At 47.2% G+C, this 22014-nt stretch overlaps 2 long non-coding RNA genes and 1 pseudogene across 4 annotated transcripts in view; 2 read left to right on the top strand and 1 right to left on the bottom strand.

Moving 5' to 3' along the window:
* The window catches only part of LOC101929373 (uncharacterized), a 34331-nt gene extending 30022 nt beyond the window's left edge, over nt 1–4309 (bottom strand). Inside the window, exon 1 of one of the 3 annotated variants that reach the window (XR_001747436.2) lies at nt 4050–4309. This is a non-coding gene — a long non-coding RNA (uncharacterized LOC101929373). The remainder of the gene's footprint in view (nt 1–4049) is intronic. The other 2 variants (XR_001747434.2, XR_001747433.2) reach the window with 2 other exon arrangements.
* A 220-nt stretch (nt 4310–4529) lies between these two features.
* Nucleotides 4530–12601, top strand: LOC105378267 (uncharacterized). Its single transcript, XR_001747432.1, has 3 exons — nt 4530–4599; nt 9717–9883; nt 10747–12601. It is a non-coding gene; the product is annotated as an uncharacterized LOC105378267 (long non-coding RNA).
* Nucleotides 12602–15533: 2932 nt separating this feature from the next.
* LOC107984164 (formin-2-like) lies at nt 15534–16466 on the top strand (annotated as a pseudogene).
* Nucleotides 16467–22014: the final 5548 nt, after the last annotated feature.

Here is a 22014-nt window from a genome sequence, read left to right as displayed (position 1 = left end):
TCCTAATAATTTAAGGAATCCAATAAGATGACATAAGAGCTGAAAGATGAAATAGGCATTTTAAGAAAGAACCAAACGAAACTGATAGAGCTGAAAAATGCACCTCAAGAATTTCATAATACAATAACAAGTACTAACAGCAGAACGGACCAAGCTGAGGAAAGAATCTCAGATCTCAAAGACCACTTCTTTGAATCAACTCAGTCAGATGAAAATAAAGAATAAAAAAGAATGAACAAAACCTCTGAGAAATCTGAGATTATGTAAAGAGACCAAACATATGACTCAGGGCATCACTCAAAGAAAGGGAGAAAGAACAAGCAAGTTGGAAAACATATTTGAGGATACTGCCCACAAAAATTTCCCAAATCTTGCTAGAGAAGTCACCATTTAAATCCAGGAAATGCAGAGAATCCTGTGAGATACTATACAAGATGACCATCCCCAAGACAGACAGTCATCAGATTCTCCAAGGTCAACATGAAATAAAAAAATATGAAAGGCAGCTAAAGTGAAGGGGCAGGTCACATACAAAGAGAATCCCATCAGGCTAACAGTGGAACTATAAGATACTCTACAATCCAAAAGAAACCGGGGGCCTATATTCAACATTCTTTTTTTTTTTCGAGATGGAGTCTCACTCTGTTGCCCAGGCTGGAGTGCACTGGTGATATCTTGGCTCACTGCAACCTCCACTTCCCGGGTTCAAGCAATTCTTCTCCCTCAGCCTCCCAAGTAGCTGGGACTACAGGTGTGCACCACAACACCCGGCAATTTTTTATAATTTTAATAGAGACAGGATTTCACCATATTGGCCAGGGTGATCTCAAATTCCTGACCTCGTGATCTGCCCACCTTGGCCTCTCAAAGTGCTGGGATTACAGGTGTGAGCCAACACGCCCGGCCTTCAGCATTCTTTAAAAAAAAAAATACTTGGCCAGGTGTGGTGGCTCATGCCTGTAATCCCAGCACTTTGGGAGGCTGAGGGGGGCAGAACACAAGGTCAAGAGATCAAGACCATCCTGGCCAACATGGTGAAACCTCATCTGTAATAAAAATACAAAAATTAGCTGGGCATGGTGGTGCGTGTCTGTAGTCCCAGCTACTCGGGAGGCTGAGGCAAGAGAATCACTTAACCCAGGAGGTGGAGGTTGCAGTGAGCCAAGATAGCACCACTGCACTCCAGCCTGGGGACAGAGCAAGACTCTGTCACAAAAAAAAAAAAAAAAAAAAAAAAAAAAAAAATTCAACCAAGAACTTAATATCCAGCCAAACTAAACTTCATATGTGAAGGAGAAGTAAGATCCTTTTCAGACAAACAAATGCTAACCGAATCTGTTACCACCAGACATGCCTTACAAGAGGTCCTTAAGGGAGTGCTAAGCGTGGAAGTGAAAGACTGTTAATGGCCACCACAAAAATACATTTAAGTACATAGACCATTGACGTGTAAAGTAACTACACAATCAAGTCTGCATAATAACCAGCTAACAACATAATGGCAGGACCAAAGCTATAAATGCCAATATTAACTGTGAATGTAAACAGTATAAATGCCCCGCTTAAAACTCACAGAATGGCAAGTTGGATAAAGAAGCAAAGCCCAACTGTATCTGTTGTCAAGAGACCCAGCTCATATACAACAATACCCATTGGCTTGAAGTAAAAGGATGGAAAAAAATCTACCAAGCAAATGCAAAACACAAAAGGGTAAGCATTGTTATTCTAATTCAGACAAAATAGACTTTAAACCAACAACAATCAAAAACACAAAGAAGGGCACTAAGTAATGATAAAGGGTTCAATTCAACAAGAAGAGTTAACTGTCTGATAGATAAATGTGCTCAAAACTGGAGCATTCACATTCATAAAACAAGTTCATAGAGACCTATAGAGAGACTTAGATAACCACAGAATAATAGTGGGAGACTTCAACATCTCACTGATGGTACTAGACAGATCATAGAGACAGAAAATGAACAAAGATATTCAAGACTTGAAGTCAACACTTGGCTAAATGGACCTAACAGCCATCTACAGAACACTCCACCCAACAACAACAGAATATATCTTCCTCTCATCTGTACATGGCATATATTGTAAAATCGATCACACTATCAGTCTAAAATTATTTTCAATAAATTAAAAGAAACCCCAGAAATCATGCCAACCACACTCTTGGACTGCTCAGTGTAACAAAAATAGAAGTCAACACTAAGAAGAACTCTCAAAACCATACAATTACATGGAAATTAAGCAACCTGTGCCTGAATGACTTTTGGGTAAACAATGAAATTAAGGCAGAAACCAATAAATTCTTTGAAACTAATTAAAACAAAGATACAACATTCCAGGCTCTCTAAGACACAGGCAAAGCAGTGTTAAGTGAAAAATTTATCGTGCTAAAGGCCCATATTGAAAAGTTAGAAAGATCTTAAATTAACAACCTAATATCATACCTAAAGGAAATAGAAAAACAAGAGTAAACAAACCCAAAGCTAGCAGAAGAAAATAAATAACCAAAATCAGGGCAGAATGGAATGAAATTGAGTCAATTTTGTTATACCAGTTTAATATAAATATTGCCTTTAAAAGATAATATAGTTTGCAGGTGTCTACAGTGATTTTGTAATATTTGTGTACATATAAAATAATATTTCCAAAAATGTAATCCAGTGGGGAAATATACTTTCTAAATTCTAGATTTATAATTTAGGGTTTAAATTATAAAATCATTAAATAAGACACAAGTGAAATATAGTCAAATATCCCCTTGGAAAAAAATTAAGTGGCCTCTAAAGTGAGGTATTCATATATGTAATTTTACAATCCTCTAGTGATAGAATTAATTAAATATGCCACCAAATTGATTAATTCCTACAGTGTTAAAAGAGAAGTCCTAACAATGCCAGTGACCATGTAACATGGATTTAAGCTACAAGTCATAGAAATGTGATGAGAAGCCTCAGCGCTGTAAAACAGAGGGTGGAGGAAAGCTTTTCCTCTCTCAAATGAGCTTTGCGAGGTATACTTCGTGAAGGATAGGAAGTTGAAGTGTTCAGGACTTTTATGTCTATTCTATTTTGGTTTAGTTTACATGATTCTTAGTTTATTAGCCTAGAAATGGCAGCGGCGGCGGGGGGGGGGGGGGGCAAAAACCCGGGGCGGCGGGGGTGCAAAAAGCCGCGGTGGGCAAAAAGTCGCGGCGGCGGGGGGGGTGGTGCAAAAAGTCGCGACAGCGAGGGGCGAAAAGCCGCGGCGGGTAAAAAGCCGCGGAGGCAAAAAGCCGCGGCGGCGGGGGGGCAAAAAGCCGCGGCGGCGGGGGGGCAAAAAGCCGCGGCGGCGGGGGGGCAAAAAGCCGCGGCGGGCAAAAAGTCGCGGCAGCGGGGGCGGGGGGGCAAAAAGCCGTGGCAGCGAGGGGCAAAAAGCCGCGGCAGTCGGGGGCAAAAAGCCGCGGCAGGCAAATAACCGCGGCACCGGGGGGTGGGGGCAAAAAGCCGCGGCGTCAAAAAGCCGCGGCGGCGCACGGCAAAAAGCCGCGGTGGCAGGGGGGCAACAAGCCGCGACCGGCAAAAAGCCGCGGCGGCGGGGGACAAAAAGCCGCGGCGATGGGGGGCAAAAAGCCGCGGTGGCAGGGGGGCAACAAGCCGCGACCGGCAAAAAGCCGCAACGTCGGGGGGCAAAAAGCCGCGGCAGTGGGGGTGCAAAAAGCCGCGGCGGGCAAAAAGTCGCGGCGGCGCGGGGCAAAAAACCGCAGTGGGGAAAAAGCCGCGGCGGCCGGGGGGTCAAAAAGCCTCGGCGGGGGGGAGGGGGGGGGCAAAAAGCCGCGGCGGGCAAAAAGTCGCGGCGGCGGGGGGGCAAAAGCCGGGGCGGGCAAAAAGCCGCCAGCCTGGGTGACAGAGACTGTCTCAAAAAAAAAAAAAGATTTAGGAGAAACAAGTCCTGAAGCCCTGACCCTAACACGCAAGGGTTAGTGGAGATGTGGGACTTGAACTCAGCTTCTCCGTTGAGTCTGGCTGTCTCCCGGACGCAGGCACGTGCTTGCACACCTCCACGTGGCGATCCCGCCCCCTTAGTAGCGTCCTTAGCTCGGCACTTCTTGCGGGGAAGTTCCTCTTGGCCCAGACCCTCGTCCTAGGCCCCGCGTCATGGGGGAAGCGAAAGGGGCAGCGTGGGGAAGTGGCTGAGGGGTCGGGTCCGGGGTGGTCTGCAGAGAGGCAGGCGACGGTGCGGAGCCGGGAACCACGGGCTCACCCGTCGAGTCGGACGGGCCCCGCGGGGGTGGGCGAGACACTGGGAACAGCGGTCAGCTCCAGAGGGCGCGAGGCGGGGCGCGCGGGGAGGGGGGGCGCGCGGGGAGCGGGTGCGCGCGCGGTTGGGGGGCAGTGAGGGTCGCCGCGGCGGCGCGCAGCACGGCTGGAACATGGCGAGCGGAACTGGCGCGCGCGCCTAGCTGGCGGGACCTTTAACTCGAGGCGGACGCCGCCCGGACCCCGTGGATATGGAGCAGTCGCCGCCGCCGGCGCCCGAGCCGACCCAAGGGCCCCCGCAAGGAGCTGAAGGCGGCTGGAGCCCGAATCGCCGCCGGCGTCGGCGCAGGTGAGTGCGTGAGGGGCTCGGGCCAGGAGACTTTGTTTGTGAGACTCCGGCGGTGGGAGCTGGGCCGGGCCTCAGCGGCTGAGGAGCGCCTGTGAGGCGGAAGGTCCGGCTTCAATCCCAGCCGCGAGCCGTCAGGCGGCGGGACCTGGTCCGCCGCCTGCCTGCCTCAGTTTCCACGGGAGTGTGTGTGGGTGTGTGAGGGTGTGTATGGGTGCTGGCCTGCGCACTCCGGAGGGGGGGGTCGGTATACAGTTGGCGCCTAATGCGCGGGGCGCCTCCCCCCTCCCCCCAGTCCCCGTGGGGCGGAACCTGGGGACTGGAGTCCCCTGGAGCAGTAGGTGGCACCCGCGGGGAGACAGGTGTCCAGGTGTCGGCGCAGCCCGGGAGGCTCAGGTGCTACCTTTCCCGGGGGGGGGGGGGGGGGGGGGGGGTTTGTGAGGAGTGAGCTCTTCGTTCCCGGAGGCGAGCAAGTCTGTCAGTGGCTCATCATAGAGCGCTGTTTTGGAAAGCGTTCCACCCACCTCAGCTTCGTGCTGTGTTTGGGCCACTAGTCAGGGGGAAGGATGCTGAGCGACATGGACTTTAGAGGTGGGGCTCCCGCTGGACGGGATGGCTCTGGGCTCTCCAGCTTACCCCCACCCTTGCCTCCCAAACCCGTTAGAGCGTAGGAATCACTGGGAGCACCTGATAAAAATGCCACGGATTGTGGCTCACCAAAGCAGGGAAGCCGATTTGGAACTTAAACAAGCTCCCAAGTTGGATCAGTCGAGCTTGGCAAGCACTGTTTTAGAGAGTAGGCTTCCTACAAGCAGGAGCCGGTTTTGTGTATACCTCACCATGGCATCTTGGTACGTGGCATGGTGCCTGGCACACGGTAGATGATCAGAAAATATCTGTAGAAAGTCTAAATTATTAGGGAGAGTGCAGCATAGGAGTTCTTGAGACATTTTCAGGAGCTTCTTGAGATTAATATCTGTCAGATTTGTTTTACAGTATATGATTTTTCTCAGCTCCCAACTTTTGTGATTGTTTTTAATGCCATGTTTTCAGTATGTTCTAGGCAAAAGCAGGGTACATGTTGCTTAGTATATACTATCCAATAGGCGGGGTGCGGTGGCTCACTCCTGTAATCTCAGCACTTTGGGAGGCAGATTGCTTGATCCCAGGGGCTTGAGGCTGTAGTGAGCCAAGGAATTAAAGGCCAGTGTGGGAAACATAGTGAGGCTCGTCTCCGCAAAAATTAGCTGGGTGTGGTAGCATGCACTTGCAGTCTCAGCTACTCTGGAGGCTGAGGTGGGAGGATCACTTGAGCTCAGGAAGTACAAGTTGCAGTGAGCCAAGGTTGTGCCACTGCATTCCAGCCTGGATAACACAGAGAAACCCAGTCTCTTAAATAAGTAAATACATAAATGATTATGTATACTCCAGCTAGGTTAAAATTAATTCTGAATCAAAATTATTAATTAAAATATTCATGTTTCTTTCTCTTCATCATTTGAGAACACTAGGCTTTTAGGATTTCATTCCGTTGGGGCAGGTAAATATCTACATTTTTGACAAAGCAAATATGAATTACTGTTAATTCAAGAAAGGTGGGAATTTGCTTAAACCTGAGTATTTGTAGTCTTTGTGATTTTTTTAAATTTTAAATTTAAATTTTCTTTTTTTTTGTTTTTTTTTTGAGATGGAGTCTCACTCTGTCGTCCAGGCTGGAGTGCAGTAGCACAATCTCAGGTCACTACAACCTCCACCTCCCGAATTCAAGCGATTCCCCTGCCTCAGCCTCTGGTGTAGCTGGCATTACAAGTGTGTGCCACCATGCGCAGCTAATTTATGTATTTTTAGTAGAGAGGAGGTTTCACTGTGTTGCCCAGGCTGGTCCCAAACTCCTTGACCTCAAGCGATCTGCCCACCTTGGCCTCCCAAAGTGCTGGGATTACAGGTGTGAGCCACGGCACCTGGCCTTATTTTTATTTTTTTGAGACAGAGTCTCAGTCTGTCGCCCAGGTTGGAGTGCTGTGGCATGATCTCCGCTCACTGCAACCTCCACCTCCCAGATTCCAGCGATTCTAATGCCTCAGCCTCCTGAGTAGCTGGGGTTAATAGACCCAGCTAATTTTTGTTGTATTTTTTTAGTAGAGACTGGGTTTCCCTATGTTGGCCAGGCTGCTCTGGAACTCCTGGCCTCTAGTGATCCACCTGCCTCATCCTCCCAAAGTGCTGGACTTACAGGCATGAGCCACTGCCCCCAGCCAATCTTTGTGATATTTTGAAATTGAGGTTTATATTTTGTTCAGAGTCAAAGCTAAAATAGAATTGTTTGAAAATTAATATTTCAGGAACTATTTTTTAATTAACTTGAATTTTATTTTATTAGTTTCATTTCAGTAGGGTTTTAACTTAAAAATATTTACATATATATATATATATATATATATATATATATATTTTTTTTTTTTTTTTTTTTTTTTTTTTCCTGAGACGGAGTCTTGCTCTGTCACCCAGGCTGGAGTGCAATGGCATGATCTTGGCCTCACTGCAGCCTCCACCCTCCCGGCTCAAGCAATTCTCCTGCCTTAGCCTCCCAAGTAGCTGGGACTACAGGTGCCCACCACCACACCTGGCTAATTTTTATATTTTTAGTAGAGATGGGGTTTCACCATGTTGTCCAGGCTGGTTTTGAACTCCTGATCTCAAATGATCTGCCCTCCTTGGCCTCCCAAAGTGCTGGGATTACAGGCATGAGCCACCATGCCTGGCCTGAAAAATATTTTTAAAGACAGGATCTAGCTATGTTGCCTCAGCTGGTCTTGAACTCCCAGTCTTGGCCTCAAGTGATCCTTCTGTCTCAGCCTTCTGAGTAGCTGGAAGCACAGCTGTGAGCCAGCACACCTGGCTTTTTTAAATTTCTAATAAAAAAGTTAATAGAGTTTCTTGTTTCACTGGACAAAATATGCATATATAGGAAGGAAAGACTTTTGGACTTGAGATTGCGCTGAAGAAGAAAAATGGAAAAATTAAGCATTTTAGTCTCTCAGTGTGTTATATTTGTAGCTTATACAGATGTCTTTTTTAAGTGTCTTTAAAAAGCTTTATTGAGATAAAGATAAATGAGATAAATTCACCTACCATGAAATCAACCCCTTGAGTGCAGAATTTTGTGGTTTATAATATGTTCACAGAATCGCACAAACAAGACAGGTATCTAGATACTTTCAGACCATTTTCATCAGTCCACAAGAAATCCCATACCCATTAGCAGTCATCCTTATTCCCTTTTCCCCTAGTCCCTGGCAATAACTAGCCTACTTTCTGTCTCTGAGTTTAGCTCTTCTGGAGGCTTCACAGAATGAAATCTTACTACATGTGGTCTTTTGTGATTGACTTACTTCACTTGGCACAGTGTTTTCAAGGTTTATCCATGCTGTAGCATATATCAGCACTTCATTCTTTTTTAATGCTGAGTAATCTTTTGAATGGATATACCATATTTTATCAGTTCCTCTGTTGATAGGCACTTGAGTTTTTTTTCCAATTTTTGGCTATTATGCACAATGCTGCTGTGAACATTTGTGTACAAATTTTAGTGTGGATGTATATTTTCATTTCCCTTGGGTATATCCCTAAGGAATACACTATCTGGGTCATATAATTGTTTAAGACTACAGGCACGTGCCGCCACACCTGGCAAATATTTAAAAATTTTTTGTAGATAAAGGGTCTTGTTATATTGCCCAGGCTGATCTTGAACTCCTGGCCTCAAGAGATCCTCTCACCTCAGCCTCCCAGAAAGTGTTGGGATTACAGATGTGAGTCACTGTACCTATAAAAGAGGCTCATACCTCTTTTTACGTTTTTTGTTTTTTTTTTTTTTTTTGAGACAGGGTTTCATTCTGTTGCCCAGGCTGGAGTGCAGTGGTGGGATCACAGCTCACTGCAGCCTGGACCTCTCTCCATATGATTCTAGCTGTGGGTGTCTTTCCTGTAGTTTTTACTATGTTGCAGTATGTTTCTTCTGTACCCGTTTCTTTGAGGATTAATAGCATGAAGGGATGTTGAATTTCATCAAATGCTTTTTCAGTTTCAGTTGACATTTATTCGGTTTATATGATGTATCACATTGTATGTTGAGTGACCCTTGCATCCCAGGGATACATCCCACTTGATCATGATGAATTATCTTTTTAATGTATTACTGAATTTGATTCACTTGTATTTTGTTGAGGATTTTTGCATCAATATTAGAGATACTGGCCTGTAGTTTCCTTCTTTGATGCCTTTGTCTGATTTTGGTATCACAGTAATAATGGTCTCATAGAATAAGTTTGGAAGTATCCCCTCCTGTTTTTCAAAATAGTTTGAGTAGGATTTGTACTAGGTCTTTAAATTGTTTGGTGTGAAGCCATCAGCAGTGAAGACATCAGTTCCTGGGCTTTTCTTTACTGGGAGACTTTTTCTGATGGCTTCAATCTCATTACTTTTTACCGATCTGTTCTGGTCTTGGATGTTTTCATTGTTCAACCTAAGTAGGTTGTATGCATCTAGGAATTTGCCAATTTCTACTAGGCTTTCCAATTTATTGGCATATAATAGCCAGTTATGATCCTTTGAATTTCTGAAGTATTAGTTGTAATGTCTCCTTTTTTTAATCTGTTGATTTTATTTATTTGAATCTTGTCTCTTTTTTCTTAGTTAGCCTGGTTAAAAGTTTGTCAATTTTGTTTTGCTTTCCAGAAAACCAACTTTTCATTTAATCTTGTGTGTTTTTTCTTTCAATTTTATTTCTGCTACGATCTTGTTTATTTTCTTATTTTCGGTTTAGTTTGTTCTTACTTTACTAGTTCTTTAAGATGTATTGTTTATTTGAAGTTTTTCTTTTGTTTGGATGGTAGGCACTTATAGCTGTAAATCTCTGCCTCTGTACTGCTTTCTGCGTAACAAGTTTTGGTATACTGTGTTTTCGTTACCCTTTGTTTCATGAAATTTTTGAATTTCTGTCTTAGTATCTTCATTTACCCGCTAGTCATTTATTCAGGAGGGTAGTGTTTAACTTCCATGTGATTGTATTGTTTCCAAAATTACTCTTCTTATTGATACCTAGTTTTATTCTTTTGTAGTCAAAGAAGATGGCCACAGAGACAGCAGCGTGGTCAGAGTGGTAGGAGCCAGCCATCGGCGAGAGCTGCTCCGTGCCTGGCTGCTGGGTGCTAGAGCCTGTGGCCCACTGGCTTGCCTCACTGTGATTGGTGGTGGTGGTGACAGAGACTGCAGCACGACCAGAGTGGTATGACAGGGGGTATCCAGGGCTGCACCTTTCACAGTGTGGGGTGGGTTGGGGGCGCTATCCAGGTTGTCATTGCCTGCATTAGGGCTACTGGTTGGTAGCACTGTACAGGGCTGCACTGCCCATGGCAGGGAGGGTGGGTTATGGGCACTTTCTGGGGCTGCAATGCCCATGGAGGAGGACAGGTTAGGGCACTATCGGGTATACGCTACTGGAGGCATTGGGGGATGGAGGTGGGGGGCGCTATTGAGGGCAGGACTAGCTGTGGAGGGCGGGCAAGTTCGGTGCTATCAGGGGCTGCACTGCTGGCGGCGGTCAGCAGAGTTGGCATCCAAGGAAGGAGTGGTTCTCCTCTCCCTGACTCCACACTCCAGAGGGCGACCCACTCTTGGTCCTACTGGAGTGCGGCAGGCACGCAGCGTTTGTGTGGGAATCCTGAGCATGGCAGAGCCCCCACACCTACCGTGGTTCCTAGGCCTGTGCACTCTGGGTCTGTGCCTCAGAGGCTGCCAGGCACCCCTGGGGACACCACGGGGGACAGGGCCCTGTGTGTGGAGGCGTCCGGAACAGGAATTGGCACCTGGGTGCAGAGGGCTGGCTGGGTCTGAATTTTTCTGCTTCTCCTGTTCCCCAAGGAGTGCAGCCCTGGTGGGCCCAATGGTTCCTGTGGAGTGGGGAGCTGGGTGCTGTGGTGTCTCCAGCACCCACCCCAGACCCCAGTTCCCAGCCAGCTTGGGCCAAAAGGAGAGGCTGGACTTTGGAGGGTGGGTGTGAGGGCCTTTGCTGAAACTGGCCCCTGCCACCCAGTGGCCAGCACGACAAGTTGAGGCTCTAACCCTTCCACCCCTTACATCTTCCTCTAGGCTTTTCTGGCTTTGCCCGCCCAGCTGCTCCGTGCCAGGAGGAGAAGGAGACACCTAGAGCCTGTGACACCATGACTTGCCTCGCTGCGGGTGGGTGGCAGCAATGGAGACTGCAGTGCGCCAGAGCGGTAGGAGAGCGGCCGCGCTAGGAGGGCAGGCGGCTGCAGCCAGGGTTGGGGTCAGGCTTACAGCGATGGACGGGCTGCAGCAGTGGCCAGGTTGTAGGAGCCTTGTAGGGAGGGCTGGTGCATTGGCAATGGGCCTGGTTTTGCCCTGCCTTGCCCTGTACCTGCCCTACTGTTACCTGGACTGTCTCGGCCCTGTCCAGCTCTGGTCCCATCCTGACCCTGTCTTGGCCCTGTGCTACCCTGTCCCTGCCCTGGTCTTGCCCTGGCACTGGCCCTGCCCTGAACCTGCACTGGCCTGACCTTGGCTCTGGCCCTGGCTCTGGCCCTGCCCCTTGTCCTGACCCTGGTCATGTCATGGCACTGGCCCTGCCAGTGGTCATGGTCCTAATCCTGTTCTGGCCCTGACCTGGCCTTGGACATGTCCTGGTCCTGCTTTGGCCCATCCCTGCCCTGGCCCCACCATGGGCCTGCCTGTTCTGCCCTCTCCTGGCACTGACCTTCCCTGTCATGGCCCAGTGGTGCCATTGCCCTGCCTTACGCTGTGCTGGTTGTGCCTTGGCCCTGCTTGGTGCTGGCCGCTCCCTGGACCTGCCCAGACCCTGCCTCGACTTTTGCCCTGCCCTCACTATGGCCTGGCCCTGGCCCTAGCCCTGGTCCTGCCATATCCCTGGCCCTGCCCTTATCCAGGCCCTGCCCCTGCTGCTGCCCTGGCCCTGGCCTGGAACCTGGTCCTGTCAAGGACTTGCCCTGACTCTGCCATGGCCCTGGCCCTGCTCTGCCTTGTTCCTGGCCCTGACCCTTTCCTGGCTCTGCACTGGCCTTTCCCTGGCCCTGAGCTGGCAGTGGTCTGCCCCTGGTCTTGCCATCACCCTGCCCTGCTGTGCTCTGGATGTGTCATCACCCTGCCCTGGCCCTACTCTGCCTTTGACCCTGCCCTGGCCTTACCTTGACCCTCACCCTAGTCTTTGCTAGGCCCTGCTCTGGAGCTGGCCCTAGCACAGACCTGGCCCTGACCCTGGCCCTGGTCTTGGTCCTGCCATAGCCCTGGCCCTGAAGTGGACTTGGAGGTGTCCTGGCCCCGGCATAACGTGGCTCTGCATTGGCCTGTCCCTGCCCTGCCCCTACCATTGCCTTGCCCTGCTCTGCCCTGTCCCAGTACTGACCCGGCCATGCTGTTTCCCTGCCCTACCCTGCCTTGGCTGTGCCCTGGCTCAGTTCTGGCCCTGGCCCCGGCCCTGCCCCAGACATGCTCTGACACTGCCTCAGCCTTGGCACTAGCCTGGCTCTTTCTTGGCATCAGCCCTGCTCTCTCTGTGGACCGGCTCTTGTCCTGTCCTGCACTGGCCATGCCATGCCCTGCCCTGCCCTGCCCTGACTCAGCCCTGGCCCAGCCTTGGCCTTGGAATTGCCCCTGGTCATGCCATATTTCTTGCCCTGTCCCTACCCTGGCCTTGGCCCTGACCCTTACCTTGCTCTGGCCCTGCCTTTGCCCTAACACAGCCCCTGGCCCTGTCATGGCCCTGCCCTGGACCTGTTCTGGCCCTGGCCCTTCCCTGCTTGAGACCTTGCCCTGGTTCTCCCCTGGCCCTGACCCTGAAATGCCTGGCCCTACCCTGGCCTTGCACTGCTCTGGCCCTTGCCCTGACTCTGGTCCTGTCACTGGCCTAGCCCCAGCCCTGTTGCTGGTCTTACCATGGCCCTGACCCTGCCTTGGCCCTGCCCTGACACTGTCCTGGGCCCTGGCTGTGCCAAGATCCTGCACTGTCCTTGCCCTTGTTTTGCTCCTGCCCCAAACCTGGTCCTGCCCAGGCCCTGGCCCTGGCCCTGGCCCTGGCCCTGGCCCTGCCCTGGCTGTTCCCTGGCCCTGCCCAGGTCTTGGCACTGGCCTGGCCCTGCCCTGCCTTGGCCCTATGCTTTCCTGTCCCTGCCTTTCCAGCCCTGGTCCTGCCTTGGCCCTCGCCTGGCTTTGACCCCGCCCTGGCCCTACCTTGGCCTTCACCCTAGCCTTACCTGGGCACTGTGTTGGACCTGGCCATAGCACAGACCTGGTTGTGGCCCTGGCCCTGCCATGGCCCTGTCCCAGACCCTAGCCCTTCCAGGTACCTGTCCTGGCCCTGCTCTGGGCCTGGCTTTGTCCCTGGTTCTTAGATGACCCTGGCCCTGCCCCTGCCCTTGTCCTTGCCCTGGCACTGGCCTTGGACATGTCCGTGGTCCTAACCCTGGGCCTGCCCTGGAGCTGCCACTGTCTTTGCCCTGCCCTGGCTCTGGCCCTGCCCCGGCCCTTTCCATGCCCCGGCCCCAGCCATAGACCTGCCCTGGTTGGTCGTGCCCTATCTTAACCATGTGCTACTCTGGGCCTGTTCCACCCTGCCCTTGCCTTGCCCTCCCTTTGGCCCTGCCCTGACCCCACCTTGGCCCTCACACTGGCCCTAGCACAGACCTGGTCGTATCTGTGGCGTTGGCCTGGCATTGACCCTTGCTCCTGACCCTGGTCCTGCCATGGCCCTGGGCCTGCCAATGACCCTGACAGCCCTGGCCCTGGCCCTGTCTTGGCCCTGGCCCTGAACTGGCCCTGCCCTGACCCTGGCCCTGAAGTGGATTTGCAGGTGTCTTGTCCCTGATTTAACCTGGCCCTACCATGGCCCTGTCCCTCCCCTGGCTCTGTCCTGGTCTTGTGCTGACCCTGACCCAGACCTTGGCCCTGCCAGCCTTGTCCTTGACCTGGCCATGGCCCTGCCTCTGCCCTGGACCAGCGCTGGCACTGGCATGGACCCTGGCCCTGGCCCTTCACTACTTAAGGCCATACCCTGGCCCAGCCCTGGTCCTGACCCTGTCCTGGCCCTAATTTGGCCTGGCTCTACCCTGGCATGCTATTCTGGCCCTAGCCCTGACCCTGTCCCTGTCCCTGTCCTGGCCCTAGCCTGGTTGCTGGTCCTGCCATGGCTCTTATCCTGACATTGCCCTTTCCTGGTCCTGGCCCTGGCCCTGTCCCAGCCCTGCTCTGGCCCTGGTCTGAACCCTGGCCCTGCAATGGACTCTCCTTGGTCCTGCCCAGACCCTGGTTCTGGCCCTACTTCTGCCCTGGTGATACCCTTGCCCTGGCCTGGACCCTGGTCCTGGTCCTTGTCCTGCCCCAGCCATGGCCCTGGCCCTGTCCTGCCTGTGCCCTGTTCTATCCTGGGCTGGCCCTGCCATGGCCTGGTCTTGCCATTGCCCTGCCCTAGCCTGCCCTGCTTGTGCCCTAGATCTGCCCCGGCCTTTGCCCCTGTCTTTGTTCCAGCCTTGACTCAGCCCTGGACCTTCCCTGACCTTGCCTCAGCCCTGGCACTACCCTGGCCTTGCCTTGGCATTTGCCCTACTCTCTCTATGGCCTGGCTCTGGTCCTGCCCTGCTCTGCTCTTGTTCTGTCCTGACACAGCCCTGGCCCTCCCTGGCCCTGGCCCTGCCGTATCACTGGCTCTGGTCCTGCCCTTATGCAGGCCTGACCCTGCCCCTGCCTTGGCTTTGGCCTGGACCTTGGCCATACAGTGACCCTGCCATGACCCTTTCCTGGCCCTGGCCTGGAACCTGGCCCTGCCAAGGACTCGCCCTGGCTCTGTCATGGCCCTGGCCCTTTCCTGGATTTGGATGTGTCCTGTCCCTTATTTGCCCCAGCCCTTCCCTGGCTCTGCCATACCCCTTCTCTGGGGTAGGGCCAGGGTCAGGACCAGGGTAGGGCCATGGTAAGGCCTGAAGATGGGAAGGGCCAGGGCAGCGGCAGGACCAGGGAAGGGTCAGGGCCAGGGATGTGGTAGGACTAGGGGCAGAGCCGGCACTAGGGCTGAGCCGGGGCAGAGCAGGGGAGATTACATTAGGCTATTATGTAAAATTTTTATTTTAGATTTTTAAGATAACTATAGTAGTGGTAATAATGTCTATACTATGTTGTTTGTAATAGTAATAATATTTACAGTAAATAATCACTAAATTTTAACTAATACTATCTCTGCTTCCAGTACTGTTCTATGAGTATAATTTTATCAATATGTAAATATGTGAGGCATTGATTCTCACAATAATTCTATGTGCTAGGTACTTAAAGCATCCCCATTTTCCAAATGTAGGAAACAGGCATAAAGAAGTTAAATACTTGGCCAGATTACTCCTGTAATCCCAGCACTTTGGGAGGCCAAGGCAGGCAGATGGCTTGAGCTCAGGAGTTTGGAACCAGCCTGGGCAACATTGTGAAACCCCATCTCTACTAAAAATGCACAAAAAGAGCTGATTTAAGTTTCTTGTAGGATTCTGGTTATAAAACACTGGTCAAACACACAGGGCATGGATAGGACAGGGCCAGGGACAAGGTCAGGTCAGGAAGGGGCCAGGGCCAAGGCAGGGCCAGAGCTGGACTTGGAGGTGTCCTGGTCTGATTTGCCCTGCCCCAACTTTGGCCCAGCCCTGCTCTGGCACTTGCTGTCATGCCCTGTCCCTGGCCTGAGCATTGGCCCTGGCCCTGTCCTGCTTCTGGCCCTGCCCCGAAGTTGACCAGGCACTGCCATGGCCCAGTCCTGCATTGCCCTGCCCTCCTCTGCCCTGGTGCTGCCATGGCCCTGCTTGGGCCCTAGCTCTGCCTCGACTATGGACCCGCCCTGACTCTGCTCAGCCCTGGATCTACCCTGACTCTGCCTTGGTGTTGCCCTCCCATCTCTATGGCCTGGCTCTGGCCCTGCCTTGTACAGGCCATGCTCTGCCCTGTGTGTCCCAGTCTGGGCCCAGCCCTTGCCCTACCATATTCCTGACCCCAGCCATACCCTTGTTCTGGCCTTGACCCTGCCGTGGCCCTCTCCTGGCCCTTCGTTGGTCCTGCCCTGCCCATCCATGCCCTGGCCTTGCCCTCACCCTGCACTGGTCCTGCCCTGTCCTGGCAGTGCCTTGGCCCCGGCCCAGCCTTCTCCCTGGCCTTGCCCTTTCCCTGCCCTGGCCTGACCCCAGGCCTACCGAGTCCATGAAATGACCTTGGACCTGCCTTGCCATCATCTGTCCTGGCCCTGTATTGTCCCCACCATGCTCTGGTCCAGCACTTACCCTGGCCCTGTTGCTAGTCCTGCCACTGCTATGGCCCTGCCCTGTTTTTGGCCATGCCCTGTGCTACCCTAGCCCTGCCCCACCTTGGCCTTGGCCCTACCATGGCCTTTTCCTACCCTGGCCTGGCTGTACACTGGCCTTTTCTACCCTGGCCTTGCCCTTCCCTGGTCTTGCCCTGCCCTGTCGTTGCCCTGCCCTGGCCTTGGCTTTGCCTTATCCTGGTCCTTGTTCTGCCCTGGCCCTGCTGTTTCTCTGGATCCTCTCTGGTTCTGCCTTCTCCCTGGCCCTGCCATTGCTCTGGCCCTGTCTCTGGCTCAGCCTTCACCCTGGCCCTGGCCCTGACAATCCCCAGGCCCCACACTGGCCATGCTTGGCCCTGGCCCCTCCTTTGGCCCTGCCCTGGCCCTGTGCTATCTTAGTACAGGGCCTTGGCCTTGGCCCTGTGCTATCTTAGTCCTGCCCTGGCCCTGAACTTGCCCTGGCCCTACCCTCACCCTACACTGGCCCTACCCTACCCTGGCGTTGACCTGCCCTGGCCCTGCCCTGCCCTGGCCCTGCCTTTGCCTGCCCTGGCTCTGGTTCTGCCCTGGCCTTGCCCTTGTCCTGGACCCTCCCTGGCCATGTTTTTACCGTGGTCCTTCTCTGGCCTTGGCCTTGCCCCTTCCCTGTCCCCTTTCTGGTCCTGCCATATTTCTGGCCCTGCCCTGTCCATGTCCTGGACCTGACTCTGGCCCTGGACCTCCCTGTCCCTGCCCTGCCATACCCTGGCCCGTTCCTTGCTCTACACTGACCCTGCCCTGCCTTGGCCCTGTGCTACCCTAGCCCTGCCCTGGCCTTCTGATGGCCCTGATCCTGCCATGGCCCTGGCCCTGCCATGTCCCTGCCCTGGCCCTGGTTCTGCCCTACATCTGGCCCTGGCCTTGGTCCTCTCATGTCCCTGGCTGTGACCCTGCCCCTGGTTTTTCTCTGGCCATGACCCTGCCCCAGTTCTGTCCTATCCCTGGCCCTGTCTCAGTTCTGTCCTAGCCCTAGCCTTTCACAGTACTTTATGCTTAGTAAGGGCTCCATAGTGTCTGTGAGTTGAATGTTGTGTTCATAGTATCTGCCAAAACAGAAAGAAAAAAAACGAAATCTGATGATGAGAAGTTAAAACTTTGTATATAATATGCCTTGAATTGTAAGTGCTTGTTATTAGTTGTATTACATATAGGTCATGGTTTTGTACACGTAACTCCAAACCATTGATACTGTTAAAAGAATATATGAATATATGAAAGAATGTATAAACATAAGAATGTATGTGTATCTAATGACCTCTCCAAATTAATTTTTATTTTTAGCTCTATTAGATTATTCTCAGTATAACAAATGTTTATTCCTATGTAATTAAGGGCATATTTCCTGTACAGAATATTCATATTACCTAATTGAAAATTATATAATGCAAAAATATAATACTATTTTTAGGCCAGGCATGGTGGCTTATACCTGTAATCCCAACATTTTGAGAGGCCAAGTTTGAAGAATCATTTGAGTGCAGGAGTTGACCAGCCTGGGCAACATAGTGAGACCTTTTCTTTATTAAATAAATAAACAAATAAATAGGTTTGGCACTGTGGCTCATATCTGTAATCCCAGCATTTTGGGTTGCCAAGGCAGGAGGATTGCTTGAGCCCAGGAGTTTGAGACCAGCCTGGGCAGCATAGCAAGACTCCATCTCTACAAATAATAAAATATTAACCAGGTGTGGTGGTACGCACCTGGGGTCCCAGCTACCTGGGAGGCTAAGGTGGGAGGTTTGCTCGAGGTTGCAGTGAACTTTGAATGCACCACTGCATTCCTGCCTAGGCCACAGAACAGGACCTTGTCTATAAATAAATAAGTAAAAATATAATTTAAAATAAGTAAAAAGAAATATAAGTAAATAGAAATATAAATACATATAAATATAAAAATGAATACATGAAAACAATTTTTAAATTTAACATCACTGAGGGCATCCTATCCATTTCATTTCATGATTCCATTACATCATTTCACTTAGATGAAATGATAAGATGACTTGAGATGAGATGAAATGATGAAATGATGGGATGAAATGATGAGATGAAATGGTGAGTAGAAATGATGAGATGAAATGATGAGACAAAATGACAAAATTGAAAAGAAATTGAAAGGAGATGAGATGAGATGAGATGATGGATAAAATGATGAGATGAAATGATGAGAAGAAATGATGAGATGAAATGAAATAATGAAATGAAATGATATGAAATAATGAAATTGAGATGAGATGAGATGATATAATGAGATAAAATGATGAGATGAAATGAGATGAACAATACGATGAAATGATGAAATGAGATGAGATGATAAGATGAAATGATGAGATGAAATGAGATGAAAAATGATGAGATGAAAAATGAGATGAAATAATGAAATGAGATGAAATGAAATGAAATAATGAAAGGAAATTATGAAATGTAATGATGAAATTGAAATGAGATGAGATGGAATGATGAGATGAAATGATGAAATGAGATGAGATGAAATGAGATGAAATGATGAGATGAAATGAGATGAGATGAGATGAAATGAGATGAAATGATGAGATGAAATGAAATGAGATGAAATGAGATGTAATGAAATGAGATGAAATGAAATGACATAATGAAATGCAATAATGAAATGAGATGAAATGAAATAATGAAATGATGAAATAATGAAATGGCAATGATGAGATGAGATGAAATGATGAGATGAAATGATGAGATGAGATGAAATGAGATTAAATGATGAGATGAAATGATGAGATGTGATGAAATGAGATGAATTGATGACATGATATGATGACATGAAATCAGATGAAATAATGAGATGAAATGAGATGAAATGATGAGATGAGATGAAATGAGATGAGATGAAATGTGATGAGATGAAATGACATAATGAAATGAAATGATGAAATGGAATAATGAAATGGAAATGATGAGATGAGATGCAATGAGTTGAAATGATGAGATGAAATGATGAGATGAAAAGATGAGATGAGACGAGATGTGATGAAATGATGACATGAAATGACATAAAATGAGATGAAATAAGATGTAATGATGAAATGAGATGAGATGAAATGAGATGAAATGATGAGATGAGATGAAATGAAATGGTGAGAATAAATGATGATATGAAATGATGAGATGAATGATGAGATGAAATGATGAGATGAAATGAAATGCAATGAAATAATGAACTCATGAGATGAAATGAAATGAAATAATGAAATGAAATGAAATTGAAATAAAATTGAGATGAGATGAAATGATGAAATAAAATGATGAAATGATGAGATGTGATGAGATGAAATGATGAGATGACATGACATGAAATAATGAAATGAAGTAATGAAATGAAATTGAAATGAGATGAGAAGATACGAGATGAAATGATGAGATGAAATGATGAAATGATGAGATAAGATGAAATGAGTTGATGAGATGATATGAAATGATGAGATGAAAAGATGAGATGAAATGAGATGAAATGAAATTAGATGCCATGTAATGAGATGAAATGAAATGACATAATGAAAAGAAAAAATGAAATGAGGTGAAATTAAATGAGATGATGAAATTAAATGATGAAATGATGAAATGGAAATGAAATGGAAATGAGATGAAATGAGATGAATGATGAGATGAAATGAGATGAAATGATGAGATGCAATGATGAGATGAAATGATGAGATGAGATGAGATGTAATGATGAGAGGAAATGAGATGTAATGAAATGAGATGAAATGAATGAGATGAAATGAAATAATGAAAGGAAATTGAATTGAGATGAGATGAGATGAAATGATGAGATAAAATGAGATGAAATAAGAAATGATGAGATGAAATGATGAAATGCTGAGGTGAGATGAGATGAAAGGAGATGAAATGATGAGATGAAATGAAAGGATGAGATGAAATGATGCGATGAGGTGAGATGAGATGAAATGAGATGAAATGATGAAATGATGAGATGAGATAAGAAGAAATGATGAGATGAAATGAGGTAAGATGAGATGAAATGATGAGATGAGATGAAATGAAATAAAGTGAAAGGAAATGAAATAATGAAACTGAAATGAGGTGAGATGAAATAAAATGATGAGATGAAATGATGAGAAGAAATGAGATGAAATGATAACATGAGATGATGAGATGAAATGACGAGATGAAAAATGATGAGATGAAATGATGAGATGAAGTGAGATGAAATAATGAAATAATGAAATGAGATGAAATGATGAAATGAAATGATATTGAAATGAAATTGGAAGATGAGATGAGATGAAATGATGAGATGAAATGATGAAATGTTGAAATGAAATGATGAAATGAAGAGATGTGGTGAGATGAAATGATGAGCTGAAATGATGAGACAAAATGAAATGAGATTAAATGATGAGATGAAAAATGATGAGATGAAAAATGATGATATGAAACGATGAGATGAGATGAGATGAATTGAGATGAGATGAGATGAAATAATGAAATTAGGTGAAATAATGAAATGAGATGAAATGAAATAATGAAATGAAATTGAAATGAGATGAGAAGAAATGATGAGATGAAATGTTGAAAGGAGGAAATGAGATGAGGAGATGAAATGATGAGATGAATAATGGTATGAAAAATGATGAGATGAAATGAAATGAGATGATATGAAGTGACATAATGAAATAAATGAAATTAGATGAAATGAAATGAAATAGTGAAATGAAATGATGAAATGAAATAATGGAAATGAGATGAGATTTGATGAAATGATGAGATGAAATGATGAGATGATATGATGAGATGAGATAAAATGAGATGAAATGAGATGAAATGATGAAATGAGATGAAATGATGAGGTGAAGTGATGCACTGTCACGTGTGTGTCTATTCTTTTTCCCAACCAACAAAAATTATAATTCATTTTAATTTTATTATTTAAGAATATTCTTAAGAGTTGAAGGAAAAATAATATCTACATTATGGGTTACAATCTAAGCATAAATAATACATAAATATATTAAAACTTACTAAGAATATGTTTTGGAATTGAATATACCATGCTTCTGTGATGACAGTTATTTCATGCTGGTTGTCACAATTTTACATGAAAAACTAATGAAAAAATGTTTTTAACTGTTTCTAAAAATAACAGTTTCCAAAAGAGTTTTACATTCGAAATATGAAAAAGATGTCTTTGTGTTCCTTAATCTGATGAGATTTTCACACTCTGCACATGATAATTGTTAGATTTTTATTTTGTTGATAAATTGTATATCAAATAAAAAATGTTATTACCTCTTAAATTAGGATTTTTAGGTGATATAGGCAGAAAGGAAGGCAAGTTTTTATAACTTTGTCTAAATGAACTTTCTAAATGCCTGAGTATTAAAAGATAGCATGTCTATAAATCACAATGTATATATTACTGTATGACCTAGGACCAATCAAAACCATTACCTCTGATAATATTATATTGTGCCCAATATAAAATAGATATAATAATACCTCAAACTTAATCCAGGCATTGTCACTGAATATCTTAAGAATATGCAGCAAAGGTGCTTTTAAAAATACAAGCTAGTGATTGTACTAAATTTGTAAATCACATGGGATAGTGGGTCATTTTAAGAATATTAGTTATTTCAATCTATAAACGTGGATGTCTTTCCTTTTTTGTGTTTTCCTTCATTCCTTTCATTAATATTTGTCATTTTTGTTGTAGAAATCTTTTACTTCCTTGGTTAAACTTATCTCTAAGTACATTTTTGTAGCTATTGTAAAAGGAATTGCTTTCTTAATTTCTTGTTTCAGCTAGTTTACTATCAATATATAGAAATGCTACTGATTTTTGTATGTTGATTTATATCCTGCAACTTTATTAATTTTATGTATCACCCTAGGAAGCTTTTGGTAGCGTCTTATTTTTTTTTTTTTTCGTGTATAAGATCACATTGTCTTTAAACAGGGACAATTTGACTGTCTCGTTTCCAATTCAGATGTCCTTTATTTCTTTCTCTCACCTAATTGTC

The sequence above is a fragment of the Homo sapiens genome, chromosome 10 (genome assembly GCF_000001405.40).
Source record: "Homo sapiens chromosome 10, GRCh38.p14 Primary Assembly".
In the NCBI taxonomy this organism is placed as follows: domain Eukaryota; kingdom Metazoa; phylum Chordata; class Mammalia; order Primates; family Hominidae; genus Homo; species Homo sapiens.
Note: the sequence above shows the minus strand (reverse complement) of the source record. Positions and strands in the feature narration are given on the sequence as shown.